Genomic DNA, 20,912 nt, shown 5'->3' on the forward strand with positions numbered 1-20,912 from the left:
GCCAGACAGTGGGCGCAGGTCAGTGGGTGCGTGCACCGTGCGCAAGCTGAAGCAGGGCGAGGCATTGCCTCACTTGGGAAGCGCAAGGGGTCAGGGAGTTCCCTTTCTGAGTCAAAGAAAGGGGTGATGGACGGCACCTGGAAAATCGGGTCACTACTGCGCTTTTCCGACGGGCTTAAAAAACGGCGCACCACGAGATTATATCTCGCACCTGGCTCGGAGGGTCCTACGCCCACGGAGTCTCGCTGATTGCTAGCACAGCAGTCTGAGCTCTAACTGCAAGGCGGCAGCGAGGCTGGGGGAGGGGCGCCCGCCATTGCCCAGGCTTGATTAGGTAAACAAAGCAGCTGGGAAGCTCCAACTGGGTGGAGCCCAGCACAGCTCAAGGAGGCCTGCCTGCCTCTGTAGGCTCCACCTCTGGGGGCAGGGCACAGACAAACAAAAAGATCAGTAACCTCTGCAGACTTAAATGTCCCTGTCTGACAGCTTTGAAGAGAGCAGTGGTTTTCCCAGCATGCAGCTGGAGATCTGAGAACGGGCAGACTGCCTCCTCAAGTGGGTCCCTGACCCCTGACCCCCAAGCAGCCTAACTGGGAGGCACCCCCCACCAGGGGCACACTGACACCTCACAGGGCAGGGTATTCCAACAGACCTGCAGCTGAGGGTCCTCTCTGTTAGAAGGAAAACTAACAAACAGAAAGGACATCCACACCAAAAACCCATCTGTACATCACCATCATCAAAGACCAAAAGTAGATAAAACCACAAAGATGGGGAAAAAACAGAACAGAAAAACTGGAAACTCTAAAAAGCAGAGTGTCTCTCCTCCTCCAAAGGAACGCAGTTCCTCACCAGCAACAGAACAAAGCTGGATGGGGAATGACTTTGACGAGCTGAGAGAAGAAGGCTTCAGACGATCAAATTACTCTGAGCTACGGGAGGACATTCAAACCAAAGGCAAAGAAGTTGAAAACTTTGAAAAAAATTTAGAAGAATGTATAACTAGAATAACCAATACAGAGAAGTGCTTAAAGGAGCTGATGGAGCTGAAAACCAAGGCTCGAGAACTACGTGAAGAATGAAGAAGCCTCAGGAGCCAATGCGATCAACTGGAAGAAAGGGTATCAGCGATGGAAGATGAAATGAATGAAATGAAGCGAGAAGGGAAGTTTAGAGAAAAAAGAATAAAAAGAAATGAGCAAAGCCTCCAAGAAATATGGGACTATGTGAAAAGACCAAATCTACGTCTGACTGGTGTACCTGAAAGTGATGGGGAGAATGGAACCAAGTTGGAAAACACTCTGCAGGATATTATCCAGGAGAACTTCCCCAATCTAGCAAGGCAGGCCAACGTTCAGATTCAGGAAATACAGAGAACGCCACAAAGATACTCCTCGAGAAGAGCAACTCCAAGACACATAATTGTCAGATTCACCAAAGTTGAAATGAAGGAAAAAATGTTGAGGGCAGCCAGAGAGAAAGGTCGGGTTACCCTCAAAGGGAAGCCCATCAGACTAACAGCGGATCTCTCGGCAGAAACCCTACAAGCCAGAAGAGAGTGGGGGCCAATATTCAACATTCTTAAAGAAAAGAATTTTCAACCCAGAATTTCATATCCAGCCAAACTAAGCTTCATAAGTGAAGGAGAAATAAAATCTTTTACAGACAAGCAAATGCTGAGAGATTTTGTCACCACCAGGCCTGCCTTACAAGAGCTCCTAAAGGAAGCACTAAACATGGAAAGGAACAACCGGTACCAGCCGCTGCAAAATCATGCCAAAATGTAAAGACCATCGAGACTAGGAAGAAACTGCATCAACTAATGAGAAAAATAACCAGCTAACATCATAATGACAGGATCAAATTCACACATAACAATATTAACTTTAAATGTAAATGGACTAAATGCTCCAATTAAAAGACACAGACTGGCAAATTGGATAAAGAGTCAAGACCCATCAGTGTGCTGTATTCAGGAAACCCACCTCACTTGCAGAGACACACATAGGCTCAAAATAAAAGGATGGAGGAAGACCTACCAAGCCAATGGAAAACAAAAAAAGGCAGGGGTTGCAATCCTGGTCTTGGATAAAACAGACTTTAAACCAACAAAGATCAAAAGAGACAAAGAAGGCCATTACATAATGGTAAAGGGATCAGTTCAACAAGAAGAGCTAACTATCCTAAATATATATGCACCCAATACAGGAGCACCAAGATTCATAAAGCAAGTCCTGAGTGACCTACAAAGAGACTTAGACTCCCACACATTAATAATGGGAGACTTTAACACCCCACTGTCAACATTAGACAGATCAACGAGACAGAAAGTCAACAAGGATACCCAGGAATTGAACTCAGCTCTGCACCAAGCAGACCTAACAGACATCTACAGAACTCTCCACCCCAAATCAACAGAATATACATTTTTTTCAGCACCACACCACACCTATTCCAAAATTGACCACATAGTTGGAAGTAAAGCTCTCCTCAGCAAATGTAAAAGAACAGAAATTATAACAAACTATCTCTCAGACCACAGTGCAATCAAACTAGAACTCAGGATTAAGAATCTCACTCAAAACTGCTCAAATACATGGAAACTGAACAACCTGCTCCTGAATGACTACTGGGTACATAACAAAATGAAGGCAGAAATAAAGATGTTCTTTGAAACCAACGAGAGCAAAGACACAACATACCAGAATCTCTGGGACGCATTCAAAGCAGTGTGTAGAGAGAAATTTATAGCACTAAATGCCCACAAGAGAAAGCAGGAAAGATACAAAATTGACACCCTAACCTCACAATTAAAAGAACTAGAAAAGCAAGAGCAAACACATTCAAAAGCTAGCAGAAGGCAAGAAATAACTAAGAGCAGAACTGAAGGAAATAGAGACACAAAAAACCCTTCAAAAAATTAATGAATCCAGGAGCTGGTTTTTTGAAAGGATCAACAAAATTGATAGACCGCTAGCAAGACTAATAAAGAAAAAAAGAGAGAAGAATCAAATAGACGCAATAAAAAATGATAAAGGGGATATCACCACCGAGCCCACAGAAATACAAACTACCATCAGAGAATACTACAAACACCTCTACGCAAATAAACTAGAAAATCTAGAAGAAATGGATAAATTTCTCGACACATACACTCTCCCAAGACTAAACCAGGAAGAAGTTGAATCTCTGAATAGACCAATAACAGGAGCTGAAATTGTGGCAATAATCAATAGCTTACCAACCAAAAAGAGTCCAGGACCAGATGGATTCACAGCTGAATTCTACCAGAGGTACAAGGAACAACTGGTACCATTCCTTCTGAAACTATTCCAATCAATAGAAAAAGAGGGAATCCTCCCTAACTCATTTTATGAGGCCAGCATCATTCTGATACCAAAGCCAGGAAGAGACACAACAAAAAAAGAGAATTTTAGACCAATATCCTTGATGAACATTGATGCAAAAATCCTCAATAAAATACTGGCAAAATGAATCCAGCAGCACATCAAAAAGCTTATCCACCATGATCAAGTGGGCTTCATCCCTGGGATGCAAGACTGGTTCAATATACGCAAATCAATAAATGTAATCCAGCATATAAACAGAGCCAAAGACAAAAACCACATGATTATCTGAATAGATGCAGAAAAAGCCTTTGACAAAATTCAACAACCCTTCATGCTAAAAACTCTCAATAAATTAGGTATTGATGGGACGTATTTCAAAATAATAAGAGCTATCTATGACAAACCCACAGCCAATATCATACTGAATGGGCAAAAACTGGAAGCATTCCCTTTGAAAACTGGCACAAGACGGGGATGCCCTCTCTCACCACTCCTATTCAACATAGTGTTGGAAGTTCTGGCCAGGGCAATTAGGCAGGAGAAGGAAATAAAGGGTATTCAATTAGGAAAAGAGGAAGTCAAATTGTCCCTGTTTGCAGACGACATGATTGTATATCTAGAAAACCCCATTGTCTCAGCCCAAAATCTCCTTAGGCTGATAAGCAACTTCAGCAAAGTCTCAGGATACAAAATCAATGTACAAAAATCACAAGCATTCTTATACACCAACAACAGACAAACAGAGAGCCAAATCATGAGTGAACTCCCATTCACAATTGCTTCAAAGAGAATAAAATACCTAGGAATCCAACTTACAAGGGATGTGAAGGACCTCTTCAAGGAGAACTACAAACCACTGCTCAACGAAATAAAAGAGGATACAAACAAATGGAAGAACATTCCATGCTCATGGGTAGGAAGAATCAATATCGTGAAAATGGCCATACTGCCCAAGGTAATTTACAGATTCAATGCCATCCCCATCAAGCTACCAATGACTTTCTTCACAGAATTGGAAGAAACTACTTTAAAGTTCATATGGAACCAAAAAAGAGCCCGCATCGCCAAGTCAATCCTAAGCCAAAAGAACAAAGCTGGAGGCATCACGCTACCTGACTTCAAACTATACTACAAGGCTACAGTAACCAAAACAGCATGGTACTGGTACCAAAACAGAGATAGAGACCAATGGAACAGAACAGAGCCCTCAGAAATAATGCCACATATCTACAACTATCTGATCTTTGACAAGCCTGAGAAAAACAAGCAATGGGGAAAGGATTCCCTATTTAATAAATGGTGCTGGGAAAACTGGCTAGCCATATGTAGAAAGCTGAAACTGGATCCCTTCCTTACACCTTACACAAGAATTAATTCAAGATGGATTAAAGACTTACATGTTAGACGTAAAACCATAAAAACCCTAGAAGAAAACCTAGGCAATACCATTCAAGACATAGGCATGGGCAAGGACTTCATGTCTAAAACACCAAAAGCCATGGCAACAAAAGCCAAAATTGACAAATGGGATCTAATTAAACTCAAGAGCTTCTGCACAGCAAAAGAAACTACCATCAGAGTGAACAGGCAACCTACAAAATGGGAGAAAATTTTTGCAACCTACTCATCTGACAAAGGGCTAATATCCAGAATCTACAATGAACTCAAACAAATTTACAAGAAAAAAACAAACAACCCCATCAAAAAGTGGGCGAAGGATATGAACAGACACTTCTCAAAAGAAGACATTTATGCAGCCAAAAAACACATGAAAAAATGCTCATCATCACTGGCCATCAGAGAAATGCAAATCAAAACCACAATGAGATACCATCTCACACCAGTTAGAATGGCGATCATTAAAAAGTCAGGAAACAACAGGTGCTGGAGAAGATGTGGAGAAATAGGAACACTTTTACACTGTTGGTGGGACTGTAAACCAGTTCAACCATTGTGGAAGTCAGTGTGGCGATTCCTCAGGGATCTAGAACTAGAAATACCATTTGACCCAGCCATCCCATTACTGGGTATATACCCAAAGGGTTATAAATCATGCTGATATAAAGACGCACACGTATGTTTATCACGGCACTATTCACAATAGCAAAGACTTGGAACCAACCCAAATGTCCAACAATGATAGAGTGGATTAAGAAAATGTGGCAGATATACACCATGGAATACTATGCAGCCATAAAAAATGATGAGTTCATGTCCTTTGTAGGGACATGGATGAAGCTGGAAACCATCATTCTCAGCAAACTATTGCAAGGACAAAAAACCAAACACCGCATGTTCTCACTCATAGGTGGGAATTGAACAATGAGAAAACTTGGACACAGGAAGGGGAATATCACACAGAGGGGACTGTTGCGGGTGGAGCGGGGAGGGATAGCATTAGGAGATATGCCTAATGCTAAATGACGAGTTAATGGGTGCAGCACACCAACATGGCACACGTATACATATGTAATGAATCTGCACGTTGTGCACATGTATCCTAAAACTTAAAGTATAATAATAATAAAATTAAAAAAAAGAATTCTATTTAAAGTCTGCATAATGAAAAATGAAGCAGAAAATTACTGCAAAAATACACTGTACATTCTTACAAAGTGAACCATTGAGATAACTATTTCCAGGTTACATGATACATTTGAGGTAAAAGTTACTGTAAAATTTATTTAAAAAAATGGATAAGATCAAGGGGAAATGTGATCTATTTTCTCTCTTTAGAAGCTTTTGGAATTTTTTCTATTATTCCTGCCATTCTGAAATTTCACAATAATTGGCCTTAGTGTGAGTCTTTTGCAGTAATTGTGGCAAGTAGTTGGTAGGCCTTTTCAATTTAGAGACTCTTGTCCTTAAGTTTCTAGGAAGTTTTCTTCTATTAATTTATTGATAATTTCCTCCAATGATTTTTCTCTATTCCTCTTTCTGCAATTTAAAAAATATTTGACTTCTGGGATTAATCTAATTTTATCTTTTCTCTATTATTATTCACCTCAGTCTTTTTTGATTCTACGTTCTGAAAACTTTTGCCTGTAATATTTAACTCACACATAATTTATTTCAATTATCACATTAGTGGAAAAACTAGTGACATTTTAGAATAAGGTGTATAGTTTAGACGACTGTACTGATGTTCATTTCCTGTGCCTGTGCCCTCTAGCCAAAGGATGAAGTAGGTGAAGGATATACAGAAACTCTATTATTTCTATAACTTCTCAGTAAATCTGAAATTATTTCAAAATGCAAGGCTAAAAAAATTAAAAGGACAGATATTTGAGAGAAAAAGTATCAGGCTGTCTATGCATGTCCCACTTCTCATTAGTTTTTGCCTGTTTCGGAGAGGATATTAATTGTAGTTTCTTTGATATTTTCTTCTGCTCCCTGCATTGTATGTTTCTTATGAATTTCTTTTTTTCTGTTTATTTTGTTCTCTCACCCTAGAGGTTTTCTTCTAACGTGGCTGCACGTCATAGTTAAGAGGGAGGCACTAAAATCCTAATGGGAAGTTCTTTGTGCATGGTTTGTCAGTGATCTTCACTTCAAGGATTTAAGAGACCATCGAACTTTTTCTCTGTGGTAGAAAGCATGCTTGGATTAGAATCCTGGATCTGCCACTTACTCAACTATGCTACTGTGGGCAAGTTACTTTTTAAGCTTAAAGTGATCAAATTAACACTGCCAGTAATTAGACATATTGGCATCTCATATCCCCTGATATGACACACTGATAAGGGCATATCACCTCTGTGATATTATTGTCCCAAATTCATACCCTTTATCTAATTAAGAGAAAACATAGGCCAACAAAAGTGAAGAGTGTTCTACAAAATAACTAATCAATATTTTAAAAAAGAATCAAGGTCATGAAAGACAATAAAAGACTATGTAAATGTCACAGATTGGTGGAGAATAAGGAGACATGACAAATTAATGTAGGATCTTAGATTAGATCCTAGAACAGAAAAAGAACATAAGTGAAAAAAATGGTGAAGTTTGTAGTTCACTTAATAGGTCTGTAGTTTACTTAACAGTACTTTATGAATGCTAATTTCTTCGTTTTGCTAATTGTTTCAATTATAAGCTGTTAGAAGTTGAGTGAAGAGATACATGAACTCTATGTATTATTTTTACAACCTTTCTGTAAGTGTAAAATTATTTTAAAATAAAATGTTAAAAAATAGGTTAAAAGGCCAAGGACATTTGGTGGGATGGGATGATGGGGGAGGATAACTGCCAGGATATCTATGCATGGGTTGCTTCTCATTAATTTTGCTTGAGGCATGATGAATCCTTTTTTGATTTGTAAATTCAAGTCACAGTGTTTTTGATTTTGTTTTGCTGTTAAAATTTCTGCACATTCTTTCTGTTCCATTTATTCTGTATTCTTTTCTTGAGAATTACTATTTTTTTGGTTGGACCTGTCTCTCTGCTCTCTCTATTCTAGCATTTTATCTCATCATTTAATCTTTCATGTTATTTTCTTTTACATTCTGGAAGAATTAAAAATATCCCTCTCTATGAAGGATTTCATTTTCTTTTGTGACTACTGGCCCTTTATGACAAAGGCAAATATGATTCTTTCCATCATGTCAATAGTTTTTGGGCAGTATTTTCTTACACTAGCCAGCAACCATTTCATTTTTCCTGTTTTTCAGCTTGCAATTGTTTCTTAAAGATCTATTACTGAGAACATGGGATACATCTTAAAAATTGTATTTAATTTCCTCTAATACATACGTTCTTATACATATATACATATTTATACTATTCATCCTTGCCTTCAATGTAGTGCCATATTCAATTTTTTTTCACAGAATCCATATAATACATACTTTTCTGTTTACTCATCCTTGAATGGGGATCTACTCATGACAATTAGAATTGGTGTCATGAACACTTGATTCTCCTTACTGTCCTTACATCAAAAAGGAGTCTTGGTAGACACAGAACCTATACAATTTCTAATGTCTAAGTGGGTGAGCATTTTTTGCTCCTCCTGCCTAGTTCTTTATGAGTAAAAAACTTATTCTAGAGAATCTGAGGCTGTCTATTGTTTGACTATATATAGCATACATGAAAATTTATACCCTCCTTATATATTCAGAGCTTTTCCTGCCTCTGTCCTCTAGATTACATTGCTTTATACTTGTCCTTCCCAGGTTTTTCAGAATACAAGACAATTTGAGTCTCTAAATTGATTCATAAGTATTAATGATACTCAAATGAGGAAATGGTTGGGAAAAAAATACTGGTAGTGGAATCTTTTTGTAAAGCAGATATAGTTGCTAATTTTTAGGTAAGTGCACGCTCTGGGCCTCTGAACTAGAAGTAGATAGTGGTAGTAGTTCAGATCCCTCTCCAATTTACTTCTGAATCATACTTTGTCGACCATTAGTTGTGTTTTTCATTTAAGTCCAATCAGTATTTTACTTAGAAGAAATTCCTTATAGCCTGGGCAAGAGGTTAAATATGATCCTTAATAGCCATATGTTTTCATCGATTGTTAGTAGACATGGGAGTTAAATAAAATACACATTGAACTTAATCCATATAAGAACAATTTTATTAGATGCTTATATTAATGCAAAAATGTAAAAACACTGTAAGAAAACCAAAACACTTGAGAATTCTCCACTTATACCCTTCATACCTTGGGATTTGATATTTATCTTAGAAACATAATAGTTCACATACCCAGAAACACAGATTTTCCTTTTGTTCCTTCCTAGTCTAGTTCAGTGGGATAATTTTGACATTATGTGGTTTTGCTTTTTTTGACTTTAAAACTTAATTCTCTTTTATTTCTTTTTTAAAATTAGAGATGGGGTCTCGCCATATTGCCAGGCTGGCCTTAAACTCCTGGCTCAAGTGATCCTCCTGCCTTGGCCTCCCAAAGTGCTGGGGTTCAGGTGTGAGTTACCACACCTGGCCTAAAACTTGATTCTGTATAAGATGTTACTGCTGAATTAGGGAATGATGGCCCTAATTAGTATTATATTAATCTAGTTACCTCTATATTGGTCTGTTTTGTATTTATTCGTTTTTGTATTTGATTTGACAGAGTATGTAGGCTGTGGCTTACAGCCAATGAGTAGTTTCTGGTAAACAGTACTTCACAGCAGTTAGACTTGTGCTTCAAACTCTGCATAAGGTTTCTATTTTATGGAATAGATTTGTTGCTTCAAGATAATTTTGACATTTGAAATTCCTACTTTGGGATATCTTCAATTAACATTCATGAGTTGTAATCATTAGAGCTTTAAAAATGAGTTTTACGCTTATAAAAACAACAACTCCTCCAAAGAATATTTCCACCTTTCTATTTTAAAAGTCACCAAGATTTTTGGTACTAGAGAAAATTTGCATTGGAAGTAAAAAAAGGCTAATGTTTCAAATGTCATTCACTAATATTTTAATATTAGTAATATGTTCTAGAAAAAGATTGTTTCATAATGTAGAACAACATTTGTATATTAAGATTTCCATGTTATAATAGAAATGCACTGTAAATGAAAATAGATAATTTGCCACATAGTAATACATGCATATTAAAGCATTTCTACAGCATTATATAGTTCTAGAAAACTACAGAAGTGGTTTTGGAGTTTCTGTCTCTGAGTGGGGTATCGTTTTGTATTGAGGGCCACTAAGTCACCTAAAGAAAAATATTGAGTATAAAATGCATAGAACATTTAATCTTAAAAAATAAAAATGAGAAACACAAAATTCTACATAACTATCTTGTGCTCCAGTTTTGACTTTGGAAGTCTATTTTTTTCCATCTCTAACAAAAGAGGAATTGGTAATTATTATTATTTTTTTATTTTAGAGATATACATGGTTTCACTCTGTTGCCCAAACTAGAATGCAGTGGCGTGATCATAGCTCACTGTAACCTTGAACCTTTGGGCTCAAGTGATCATCCTGCCTCAGCCTCCTGAGTAGTTAGCACTATAGGGGTGCACCACCATGCCCAGATAGTTTTTAAAATTTTTATTTTGTAGAGGCTGAGGAGTTAGCACTATAGGGGTGCACCACCATGCCCAGATAGTTTTTAAAATTTTTATTTTGTAGAGGCAGGGTCTCACTATGCTCTCAAACTCCTGGCTTCAAGCAATCCTCCTACCTTGGCCTCCCAAAGTGCTGGGATTGCAGGCATGAGCCACCACAGTTGGCCAGAATTGGTAATCTTTATATGACTATATTAAAGAGTAAGATACCAGTTTCTCTGTACAATTTCTGATGTTACCTACTCACAGATCTAAGAACATTTAGAGAAATATATACTCTTAAACTAGAAGAATTAAATTTTAAGAATGTTTAACATTAACATCCTTTGGAAATTTCTCCTATCCAAATACCACCCACCACTCCATCCTCTATTCAAATTATTCAATTTGTATAATTGTATAAATTACACAATTTCCATCACTTTGTGATATAGCTCTCTCTCAGTAACTGAAAATAACTATCACTTACATAATATGGCATAGCAACATCAGCCATTTCTGCAAAAGTATATTTGGAGTAAATGTTAACGACAGAAGAAGTCTATTTTAGAAGATTTTCTAACAATACTAAAAATGAAGCCTCTATGAGTAATGTTTAGTAACACTATAGGTTTTGACAATATGTCAAAATTATGGTTTTATTTCATGTTTGGTGTATAGTGATAAAGCCAATGAAGGGATGCAGTGAGTGGTAATGGCAGTGAGTGGTAATGGTGTGAAGGGTCACGAGAAGACCGGGAGGCTCCTTAAAGTAGACTGTCTTGGTATTGAGTTCAACACATAGGATGGGCCAGAACATAAATATGAGTGTGAAATAGCTAATATCCATTATTTTAATGCAAAGACTATGCCTACCTTCCTCACCAAAGTACACTGTATGCAGGATTCATATTACCATCTCAACAGTTGATCAGTCTGTGGCTCTTTACTGCAGATAAAGTTCATTTCCTTAAAGGGATGATGCAAGAGTTTCACCAAGAAACTTGTTCATAAGGGAATAGGAAGAATTCCCTGTACATAGTAGATAGTCAAAATATATTGAGTGTATACATGGGTATAACTGGATTATCATTCTTTGGCCTGAATCTGACTAAGGAGGCATGAACATGGTTCCCAAACTGGAAAAGGAGATCATTAATTGTTTTCACCTCCCCATAAATGTCACATGTCATCAACATAGATAATAAAAATCAGAGTACTGTATATTAAATATCTAGAATAGGCAAATTCATATAGATAGAAAGTAAATTAGAGGTTACCAGGGACTAGGGGTTGAGAGGAAGCACATAGGAAGAGTTATTGCTTAATGGGTGCACAGAGTTTCAACTTGGGATGAGGAAAAGGTTTGAAAACAATGGTGATGGTTGCATAGCATTGTGAATGTAATTAATGCCACTGAATTGTACACTTAACAATGGTTGAAACAGAAAATTTTTAAGTTTGAAGTCAGGTAGCGTGATACCTCCGGCTTTGTTCTTTTGGCTTAGGATTGACTTGGCAATGAGGGCTCTTTTTTGGTTCCATATGAACTTTAAAGTAGTTTTTTCCAATTCTGTGAAGAAAGCCATTGGTAGCTTGATGGGGATGGCATTGAATCTATAAATTACCTTGGGCAGTATGGCCATTTTCACGATATTGATTCTTCCTACCCGTGAGCATGGAATGTTCTTCCATTTGTTTGTATCCTCTTTTATTTCATTGAGCAGTGGTTTGTAGTTCTTCTTGAAGACGTCCTTCACATCCCTCGTAAGTTGGATTCCTAGGTATTTTATTCTCTTTGAAGCAATTGTGAATGGGAGTTCACTCATGATTTGGCTCTCTGTTTGTCTGTTATTGGTGTATAAGAATACTTGTGATGTTTGTACATTGATTTTGTATCCTGAGACTTTTCTGAAGTTGCTTATCAGCTTAAGGAGATTTTGGGCTGAGACAATGGGGTTTTCTAGATATACAATACTACAAGGCTACAGTAACCAAAACAGCATGGTACTGGTACCAAAACAGAGATAGAGACCAATGGAACAGAACAGAGCCCTCAGAAATAATGCCGCATATCTACAACTATCTGATCTTTGACAAGCCTGACAAAAACAAGAAATGGGGAAAGGATCCCCTATTTAATAAATGGTGCTGGGAAAACTGGCTAGCCATATGTAGAAAGCTGAAACTGGATCCCTTCCTTACACCTTATACAAAAATTAATTCAAGATGGATTAAAGACTTACATGTTAGACCTAAAACCATAAAAACCCTAGAAGAAAACCTAGGCAATACCATTCAGGACATAGGCATGGGCAAGGACTTCATGTCTAAAACACCAAAAGCCATGGCAACAAAAGCCAAAATTGACAAATGGGATCTAATTAAACTAAAGAGCTTCTGCACAGCAAAAGAAACTACCATCAGAGTGAAAAGGCAACCTACAAAATGGGAGAAAATTTTCACAATCTACTCCTCTGACAAAGGATATCTCTAATATCCAGAATCTACAATGAACTCAAACAAATTTACAAGAAAAAAACAACCCCATCAAAAAGTGGGTGAAGGATATTAACAGACACTTCTCAAAAGAAGACATTTATGCAGCCAAAAAACACATGAAAAAATGCTCATCATCACTGGCCATCAGAGAAATGCAAATCAAAACCACAATGAGATACCATCTTACACCAGTTAGAATGGCGATCATTAAAAAGTCAGGAAACAACAGGTGCTGGAGAGGATGTGGAGAAATAGGAACACTTTTACAATGTTGGTGGGAGTGTAAACTAGTTCAACCATTGTGGAAGTCAGTGTGGCGATTCCTCAGGGATCTAGAACTAGAAATACCATTTGACCCAGCCATCCCATTACTGGGTATATACCCAAAGGACTACAAATCATGCTGCTATAAAGACACATGCACACGTATGTTTATTGCGGCACTATTCACAATAGCAAAGACTTGGAACCAACCCAAATGTCCAACAACGATAGACTGGATTAAGAAAATGTGGCAGATATACACCTCGGAATACTATGCAGCCATAAAAAATGATGAGTTCATGTCCTTTGTAGGGACATGGATGAAGCTGGAAACCATCATTCTCAGCAAACTATTGCAAGGACAAAAAACCAAACACCGCATGTTCTCACTCATAGGTGGGAATTGAACAATGAGAACACATGGACACAGGAAGGGGAACATCACACTCCGGGGACTGTTGTGGGGTGGGGGGAGTGGGGAGGGATAGCATTAGGAGATATGCCTAATGCTAAATGACGAGTTAATGGGTTCAGTACACCAACATGGCACATGTATACATATGTAACAAACCTGCACATTGTGCACATGTACCCTAAAACTTAAAGTATAATAAAATAAAATAAAATAAAAATTTTTTAAAAAAGAAAATTTTTAAGTTGCATATATTACCACAATAAATAAAAAAGTTAATAGTTAATTTAGAATTATATTTCCTTCACATGAGTTTGCTAATTCTGTACTTCTGATCACAAGTGTGATGTAAATATCCAAAATTGTTCCTTTCTAGAAGAGAAAGTTGGAAAACTTGAAATATGATGGAAGAAAAACAAAGTAAAAAGTCAAAACAAATTTCTTACTTTAATTGGCTCAGGCTGCATCACAGGCGCAGGCATAGTGATGGCACTTGGAGCATAAACCTGGTGATATGTTGCTTGAACTCCATGATCAGAATAAGGCTATTACAAAAAAAGAGAGAAAAAATGTCACCTTTCATCTATTAATTCTAAATATTTACTCAGCATTTACAATATACTAATCATCTAGCTATACAATGTAGAAACAGTTAAAAACACATGCCCTTATGTTTAATTAACTTATAATCTGATGAGTTAATATAATGAATTAACTTATGAATTAACTTGTAATCTGATGAGGGAAATAGACAGTAGTCAGAATGATCATAAATCCTATAGACATGTATAGGGATGCAACAGGCAAGGGAAGAGATTATGTAAATGCAGTTATGGCTTGTCCAGCAGATGGTGGTACCATTCATTGGAATATAGAATACAAGGAAAGCTTAATATTCATGTAATTGTGTGTAAGGGGTTGCAGAGCAGGAGTTAGGTTTGTGATATACAAAATTTGTGGTATCTGTAGGAATTCTAGTAGACGTATACTGTTGATAGATGTGGCTCTAGACCAGGACTGTCAAATAGAAATACAATGTGAGCTACATATGTTATTTAAAATTTTCCCATTGTCATGTTAGAAAAATAAAAAATGGTAGAATTAATTTTTAGTAATACCTTTTATTTAAACTAATACATATTAAATATTATCATATAAAAGTACAATCAATACAAACATTACCAAGATGTTTTACATTCTTTTTTCTTTTTTTTTTGAGATGGAGTCTTGCTGTCTTCCAGGCTGGAGTGCAGTGGTGTGATCTCGGCTCACTGCAAGTTCCACCTCCCGGCTTCACACCATTCTCCTGCCTCAGCCTCCCAAGTAGCTGAGACTACAGGTGCCGCCACTACACCCGGCTAATTTTTTGTATTTTTAGTAGAGACGGGGTTTCACCGTGTTAGCCAGGATGGTCTTGATCTCCTGACCTCGGGATCCACCCGCCTCGGCCTCCCAAAATGCTGGGATTACAGGCGTGAGCCATTGCGCCCAGCTACATTCTTTTTTCACACTGTGTCTTCAAAACCCAGTATGTATTTTACACTTAGGGGACATCTCAATTCGGTCTTACTGCATTTCAAGTGCTCAACTGCCACATGTGGCTAGTGGCTATTGTAGTGGATAGTGCAGTCTAAAACTCAGGAGTGAGACGGAGGCTAGATATATGGCTATGGATGATAACATCAGAGTGAGTACATGTGGTGAAAGAATGGAGAATCAAATACAAAATCTGCTTATAAAGGAAAACAAAAGGAGGTAAAAGGATTGCCAGAAGAGAGTAGTATCATGGAAACCAAGGGTAGGAAGAGTTTTAGGGAGTAGGTACAATGTCTCTGAGAGGTCAAATAAGATAAAAAAGAAAGGAAAGTTTGTGTCAGTTAGGAAGTCATTGAGGACCTTTACCCAAGGCAGCTTCAGCAGAAAGGTAATGAAGTAGACTTCAGCAGGTGAGGAGTGAATGAGTAGTGAAGTAGCAGAAATTCTGAATGTAGACTACTTTTTCAAGACACTTGGCTTTGGAAGGTAGCAGAAAATCAGGGAAGTGGTGGGAGTGTGTGTCACAGGATAATATTGCCTCTTACAAGGTGCTGCACACTATACAAAGAACTTTGTATACCATCTCTCTAGTCTTTACATCAATCCTGCAAAATAGTTTTTCCTGATGTCCTCATTTTACAAATAAGGAGATTATGAAAGCAAGACCATGAAGGGTTAAGCAATTCCTCAAAGTAACACAGTAAGTTGTGAAGCTGTAAACCAGTGGAGAGAAGAAGACTTCAAATACAAGACAGAAAAAGAACAGTAGATGGAATGAGGTCCCTGAGGAGGAGGGAACTGATAGCATCTAGATCGCAAGAGGCAGAAATAACCTTGGACAAGACTGAAAGTCACTAAATAAATATAAGAAGCTAAGGATGAGTTACGATACAGGTAAAGTTTGTGTTTCAGGGGTTGGAGGCTGAGTTGGTTTTCACAAATTGGTTCTTACTCTGCAAAAGAGAAGGCAAAGCTATATTCTCAGAATGACATGGGCAGGCAGTGGAGTGGGTGCAATCTGGTAGTACTGAGGGCTTGGCAAAGGTTTAAAATAATCATTGAAATAAGTGAGTGAAGACGGTCACTTTTTTTTTTAAAAAAAGAAATTTGACTATAACACTCACAAGAAAAGTCGTGAAGTTCTTAATTTTAGGGAAAAAAACACTTCAACTGTAAACCATCCCACTCTATTCATTAAGTTATATATTAGTCAGACTATACCCTCTACTAGAAACAGTAGCAAAACAAAAACATGCAAATATTTTGTATGGAAATACCACACAAAGTACAAGTTATAAGATAATGATGGGCAATATTTTCAGAAAAGCTTTATTAGATTCCATTAAATAGTGCATATATTCTGATGGTAAGTATCTGATATCAGATATTAAAAATATGATTTAATGCCAAAAGAGATTCTGACAAAAAATCAAATGTAAAAGCATTCTTATCTCACTACCTGCTCCTGGCAAACCAGAAAACAACAAAAAGAACAAAATATAGATTTTTAAAATGCCATCATCAATTAAAGAAGAAAATGCCTATGACTCCCAAACCATACACAATGTAGAATGTCTGCCAAGTGCTGTGCAAGTTGGACGAACATAAGGGAGGATTCTGAAGCCTCCTCAGTCATGAGAAAGGATGACGATTTCCCAAGAGGTCAATGTTCTGGAAGACCTCCTCAAAGATACTTTAGAGTCTTGAGTGCAGAAGTATGTATTGGTCAGAGTGAGGTAGAAGCACAAAATATCTCCACAGAGATCCTATTCATAATTAGGATAATAATTAATAATAATTAAGAATCCTGACTTAACAGGGGAGGTAGAATTGATGGAGAAATCATGTTTATATAATTTTTCTTGTCTACTATCTAGCCTTTTACCTGAGGAATACTGCTGGAGGTGAAGCAGGGAGAAAGTGGGAAAGGAAGTAGCAATTGCCACATCCCAATACAGAACCCCTGTGATAAAAAGGGCTTTACAAGGAACAAAAATGATCTCTGGCAAGGATGTGGAGGAAAGGGAATCCTTGTACACTGCTGGTGGGAATGTAAATTAGTATGGCCATTTTGGAAAACAGTAGGGTGGTTTCTCAGAAAATTAAGAATACTATCATGTGATCTAGAAATCCCACTACTGTGTATACATATCCAAAGGAAATGAAGTCAGTATGTTAAAAAGATATCTCCATTTCCATGTTCACTCCAGCATTATTGATAATAGTCAAGATATGGAATCAACCTTAGTGTCCATCAATCAGTGAATGGATAAAGAAAATGTAGTATCCATATACACAATGGAATACTGTTCAGCCTTAACAAAGAAGGAGATCCTGTCATTTATGACAACATGGATGAACCTGGAGGACATTATGCTAAGTGAAATAAGCCAAGCACAGAAAGACAAATACTACATGATTTCACTTATGTGCAGAACGTGAAAAAGTCGAACTCATAGAAGCAGAGAGGGCCAGGTGCGGTGGCTTATGCCTGTAATCCCAGCACTTTTGGAGGCCGAGGCAGGCGGATCATGAGGTCAAGAAATCGAGACCATCCTGGCCAACATGGTGAAACCCCGTCTCTACTAAAAATATAAAAATTAGCCCGGCATGGTGGTGTGCGCCTGTAGTCCCAGCTATTTGGGAGGCTGGGACAGGGGGATCGCTTGAACCCGGGAGGCAGAGGTTGCAGTGAGCCGAGATCATGCCACTGCACTCCAACTTGGTGACAGAGTGAGACTCTGTCTCGAAAAAAAAAAAAAAAAAAAGCAGAGAGAAGAATGGTGGTTGCCAGGGACTGGGGATGGCGAGTGAGATGGGAGATGTTGGTCAAAGGTTACAGGGTTTCAGTTCTAAAGGAAGAATATGCCCTGAAGATCTACTGTATAGCATGACTATAGTTAATAATAACATATTATATACTTGAAAATTGCTAAGACTTAAAGTACCTTAAATGTTCTCACCACAAACAAAAAAAAGGATAACCATGTGAGGTGATGGATTAGCTTGATTGGGGTAATCATTTCACAGTGTGTACATATATCCAACCATCATGCTATACACTGTAAATGTATACCATTTGTCGTTAGTTACAATTTAGTAAAGCTGAGGATAAAAAGAAAAAAGCAACCATAAAAAAGTAGGTGGGGCAGGCCAGGCGCAGTGGCTCACGCCTGTAATCTCAGCACTTTGGGAGGCCGAGGCAGGCTGATTACGAGGTCAGGAGATTGAGACCATCCTGGCTAACACGGTGAAACCCCGTCTCTACTAAAAATACAAAAAATTAGCCAGACTTGGTGGCACACGCCTGTAGTCCCAGCTACTTGGGAGGCTGAGGCAGGAGAATCACTTGAACCCAGGAGGCAGAGGTTGCAGTGAGCCGAGATGGCACCACTGCACTCCAGCCTGGGCGACAGAGCGAGACTCGGGCTCAAAAAAAAAAAAAAAAAAAAAAAAGGTGGGGCATGAAACAAATAATAAAGAAATCCTAGTAAAAGTATTGATAGTAAATCTTAAGATCCAACTGTGGAAATTATTGTTTCAGAACAAAATTATAATATTAAAAAAGTAATAAAACAATGTACTTAAACTGGGAGGTAAATGCTAATTTCTTAATCTTTCACCACACTGATTTAAAACATACCATGCACATGGTACTGGTACAAAAACACAGACCAATGGAACAGGATAGAGAACTCAAATAAGACCACATATTTACAACCATCTGATTTTCAACAAACCTGACAAAAACAAGCAATGGGGAAAGGATTCCTTGTTTAATAAATGGTGCTGGGGAGGTCCAGGGCAAGATGGCCAAATAGGACCAGCTCTGGTCCGCAGCTTCCAGTGAGAACAATGTAGAAGGTGGGTGATTTCTGCATTTCCAACTGAGGTACCCAGCTCATCTCACTGGGACTGGTTAGACAGTGGGTGCAGCCCACGGAGGGTGAGCAGAAGCAGGGTGGGGCGTCACCTCACCCGGGAAGCACAAGGGGTCAGGGAACTCCCTTCCCCAGCCAAGGGAAGCCATGAGGGACAGTGATATCTGGCTCAGATACTACGCTTTTCCCATGGCTTTTGCACCTGCAGACCAGGAGATCCCCTCGGGTGCCTACACCACCAGGGCCCTGGATTTCAAGCACAAAACTGGGTGCCCATTTGGGCAGACACCGAGCTAGCTACAGGGTTTTTTTTGTTCATACCCCAGTGGCACCTGGAACTCCAGAGAGACAGAACCATTCACTCTCCTGGAAAGGGAGCTGAAGCCAGGAGCCAAGTGGTCTTGCTCAGTGGATCCCACTTCCATGGAGCCCAGCAAGCTAAGACCCACTGGCTTGAAATTCTTGCTGCCAGCACAGCTGTCTGAAGTCGACCTGGGATGCTCAGGCTTGGTCAGGGGTTGGGGCATCTGCCATTACTGAGGCTTGAGTAAGCGGTTTTCCACTCACAGTGTAAATAAAGCCACTGGGAAGTTCGGACTGGGCAGAACCCACCTCAGTACTGCAAAGCCACTGTAGCCAGACTGCCTTTCTAGATTCCTCCTCTCTGGGCAGGGCATCTCTGAAAGAAAGGCAGCAGCCCCAGTCAGGGGCTTATAGATAAAACTCCCATCTCCCTGGGACAAAACACCTGGGGGAAGGGGCAGCTGTGGGTGCAGCTTCAGCAGACTTAAATGTTCCTGCCTGCCGGCTCTGAAGAGAGCAACAGATCTCCCAGCACAGTGCTTGAGCTCTGCTAAGGGACAGAATGCCTCCTTAAGTGAGTCCCTGACACCTGTGCCTCCTGACTGGGAGATACCTCCTAGCAGGGGTTGACAGACACCTCATACAGGAGAGCTCCAGTTGGCATCTGGTGGGTGTCCCTCTGGGACGAAGCTTCCAGAAGAAGGAGCAGGCAGCAATCTTTGCTGTTCCGCAGCTTCCGCTGGTGATACCCAGGCAAACAGGGTCTGGGGTGGATCTCCAGCAAACTCCTACAGACCTGCAGCAGAGGGGCCTGACTCTTAGAAGGAAAACTAACAAACAGAAAGCAATAACATCAACATCAACAAAAAGGACATCCACGCAAAAACCCCATTCACAGGTCATCAGCATCAAATATCAAAGGTAGATAAATCCACAAAGATGAGGAAAAACCAGCACAAAAAGGCTGAAAATTCCAAATACCAGAATGCCTCTTCCCCTCCAAAGGATCACAACTCCTCGCCAGCAAGGGAACAAAACTGGACGGAGAATGAGTTTGATGAATTGACAGAAGTAGGCTTCAGAGGTGGGTAATAAACTCTTCCGAGCTAAAGGCGCATGTTCTAACCCAGTGCAAGGAAGCTAAGAACCTTGATAAAAGGTTACAGGAACTGCCAACTAGAATAGCTAGTTTAGAGAAAAAGAAAAGTGACCTGATGGAACTGAAAAACACAGCACGAGAACTTCGTGAAGCATACACAAGTATCAATAGCTGAATTGATCAAGCAGAAGAAAGGATATCAGAGATGGAAGATTGACTTAATGAAATAAAGCGTGAAGACAAGATTAGAGAAAAAAGAATGAAAAGGAATGAACAAAGCCTTCAAGAAATATGGGACTATGTGAAAAGGCCAAAGTTTAGGTTTGATTGGTGTACCTAAAAGTGACACGGGGAATGGAACCAAGGTGGAAAACACACTCAGGATATTATCCAGGAGAACTTCCTCAACCTAGCAAGACAGGCCAACATTCAAATTTAGAAAATACAGAGACCACCAGAAAGATACTCCTTGAGAAGAGTTTGGTGGGAAGCCCACCAAACTAACAGCAGATCTCTCTGCAGAAACCTTACAAGCCAGAAGAGAGTAGCGGCCAATATTCAACA

The 20,912-nt window shown here is 39.0% G+C and overlaps 1 protein-coding gene across 11 annotated transcripts in view, besides 1 other annotated feature; it reads right to left on the reverse strand.

The window, feature by feature from the left end:
* Window positions 1-20,912, reverse strand: part of BOLL (boule RNA binding protein) — a 59,317-nt gene that overhangs the window by 2,196 nt on the left and 36,209 nt on the right. For 9 of the 11 annotated variants that reach the window (NM_001284358.2, NM_197970.3, XM_011511692.4 and 6 more), the window contains one exon: window positions 13,976-14,074. In NM_001284358.2, the coding sequence (NP_001271287.1) occupies window positions 13,976-14,074 (99 nt within the window). Of the gene's footprint in view, window positions 1-13,975; window positions 14,075-20,912 lie in introns of those variants that run through there. The other 2 variants (XM_006712715.5, XM_011511693.4) reach the window with 1 other exon arrangement.
* Window positions 162-732: an enhancer, noted in NCBI's record as "NANOG-H3K27ac-H3K4me1 hESC enhancer chr2:198593971-198594541 (GRCh37/hg19 assembly coordinates)". NCBI's record gives its function as "activates a minimal SCP1, AML or CMV promoter by ChIP-STARR-seq in naive H9 embryonic stem cells {active_cell/tissue: H9 hESC(naive)}" and the evidence as "EXISTENCE:reporter gene assay evidence [ECO:0000049][PMID:30033119]".

The sequence above is a fragment of the Homo sapiens genome, chromosome 2, assembly GCF_000001405.40.
Source record: "Homo sapiens chromosome 2, GRCh38.p14 Primary Assembly".
NCBI lineage: Eukaryota > Metazoa > Chordata > Mammalia > Primates > Hominidae > Homo > Homo sapiens.